A 2,228-nucleotide genomic window follows, 5' to 3' on the forward strand; every position below is an offset into this window, starting at 1 on the left:
AATGCTTCTGTTAAGATTTCGTGTGAAGATATTTCCTTTTTCACCATAGGCCTCAATGGGCTCAGAAGTATTACTTTGTAGATTTTACAAAAGGTCTGTTTAGAAAACTGCTGAATCCAAAGAAAGATTCAACTCTGTGAGATGAATGCACACATTACAAAGAAGTTTTGCAGAATGCATCTGTCTAGTTTTTATGTGCAGATATTTCTTTTTTCACCATAGGCCTCAAAGCGCTCCAAATACCCATTTGTAGATTCTACAAAAAGAGTGTTTCCAAACTGCTCAATCAAAAGAAAGGTTCAAACCTGTGACACGGAAGCAAACATCACAAAGTAGTCTCTCAGAAAGCTTCTGTCTATTTTTTATGTGACGATATTTCCTATTTCACCATGGGCCGTATAAGGCTCACAAAATTTTTTTGTAAATTCTGCAAAAAGACTGTTTCCAAACTGCTCAATCCAAGGGAAGTTTCAACTCTGTGAGATGAATGGACACACCACAAAAAAGTTTATCAGAATGCTTCTATCTACTTTTTATGGGAAGACATTTCTTTTTCACCCTAGGCTTCAATGGGCTCAGAAATATCCCTTTGCAGATTCTACAAAAGGACTGTTTCCAAACTGCTCAATCAAAGAAAGGTTCAACTCTGTGAGATGAATGCACACATCACAGAGATGTTTCTCACAATGCTTCTGTCTATTTTTTATGTGAAGTTATTCACCTTTTCACCATAGGCCTCAAAGCACTCCAAACATCCATTTGCTGATTCCGCAAAAAGACTGTTTCAAAACTGCTCAATGAAAAGAAAGCTACAACTCCGTGTGTTGAAAGTACACATCACAAAGAAGTTTCTCAGAAAGCTTATGTCTAGTTTTTCTTTGAGGATATTTTCTGTTTCACCATGGGCCATAAAGGGCCCAAAAATATTTTTCACAGATTCTACAAAAAGACTATTTCCAAACTGCTCAATCCAAAGAAAGTTTCAACTCTGTGAGATGAATGGACACAATACAAAGAAGTTTCTCAGAATACTTCTGTCTAGGGTTTACATGAGATATTTCCTTTTTCACCACAAGCCTCAAAGCGCTCCAAATATCCATTTGCAGATTCCACAAAAAGACTGTTTCCAAGTTGCTCAATGAAAAGAAAGTTTCAACTCTGTGAGGTGAAAACACACATCACAAAGAAGTTTCTCAGAATGTATCTTTCTAGATTTTTTGTGAAGATATTTCCTTTTTCAACATAGGCCTCAAAGCACTCCAAGTATCTATTTGCAGATTCTACCAAAAGACTGTTTACAAACTGCTAAATCAAAAGAAAGTTTCAGCTCTGTGATATGAATGCAGACATCACAAAGAAGTTTCTCAGAAAGCTTCTGTTTAGTGTTTATCTGAAGATATTTCCTTTTTCTCCATAGGCCTCAAAGCTCTCCAAATATGCATTTCCAGATTCTATAAAAAGTCTGTTTCCAAACTGCTCAATGAAAAGAAAGGTTCAACTCTGTGAGATGAAAGTACATATCACAAAGAAGTTTCTCAGAATGTTTCTTTCTAGTTTTTTTTGGAAGATATTTCCTTTTTCACTATAGAACTCAGAGCACTCCAAATACCCATTTGCAGATTCTACAAAAAAGACTGTTTACAAACTGCTCAATCAAAAGAAGTTTTCAACGCTGTGAGATGAATGCACACATTACAAAGTAGTTTCTCAGAAAGCTTCTGTTTAGTTTTTATGTGAAGATATTTCCTTTTTCACCATAGGCCTCAAAACGCTCCAATTATCCATTTGCAGATTATGCAAAAAGAGTGTTTCCAAACTGCTCATTCAAAAGAAACACTTAACTCTTTGAGATGAGAGCACTCATTAAAAATAAGTTTCTCAGAAAGTTTCTGTCTAGCTTTTATGTGAAGATATTTCCAATATCACCAAAGGCCTCAATCGGCTGAGAAGTATTCCTTTGGGGATTCTACAATAGGACTGTTTCCAAAGTGCTCTAGCAAAGGAAAGGTTCAACTCTGTGAGATGAATGCACGCATCACTAAAACGTTTCTCAGAAAATTTCTGTGTAGTTTTTATGTGAAGATATTTCCTACTTCACCCTAGGCCTCAAAGGGTTCACAATTATCCCTTTATAGATTTTACAAAAAGACTGTTTCCAAATCTTCAATCAAAGAAATGTTCAAATGTGTGAAATGAATCCAACCCTCACAAAGAAGTTTCTCAGAATT

General features: G+C 35.7%; 3 annotated features.

Moving 5' to 3' along the window:
- Window positions 1-737: an enhancer, noted in NCBI's record as "OCT4-NANOG-H3K27ac hESC enhancer chr21:10699388-10700124 (GRCh37/hg19 assembly coordinates)". NCBI's record gives its function as "activates a minimal SCP1, AML or CMV promoter by ChIP-STARR-seq in naive and primed H9 embryonic stem cells {active_cell/tissue: H9 hESC(naive and primed)}" and the evidence as "EXISTENCE:reporter gene assay evidence [ECO:0000049][PMID:30033119]".
- Window positions 738-1,473: an enhancer, noted in NCBI's record as "OCT4-NANOG-H3K27ac hESC enhancer chr21:10698652-10699387 (GRCh37/hg19 assembly coordinates)". NCBI's record gives its function as "activates a minimal SCP1, AML or CMV promoter by ChIP-STARR-seq in naive H9 embryonic stem cells {active_cell/tissue: H9 hESC(naive)}" and the evidence as "EXISTENCE:reporter gene assay evidence [ECO:0000049][PMID:30033119]".
- Window positions 1,474-2,210: an enhancer, noted in NCBI's record as "OCT4-NANOG hESC enhancer chr21:10697915-10698651 (GRCh37/hg19 assembly coordinates)". NCBI's record gives its function as "activates a minimal SCP1, AML or CMV promoter by ChIP-STARR-seq in primed H9 embryonic stem cells {active_cell/tissue: H9 hESC(primed)}" and the evidence as "EXISTENCE:reporter gene assay evidence [ECO:0000049][PMID:30033119]".

This window comes from Homo sapiens, chromosome 21, assembly GCF_000001405.40.
Source record: "Homo sapiens chromosome 21, GRCh38.p14 Primary Assembly".
In the NCBI taxonomy this organism is placed as follows: Eukaryota; Metazoa; Chordata; class Mammalia; order Primates; family Hominidae; genus Homo; species Homo sapiens.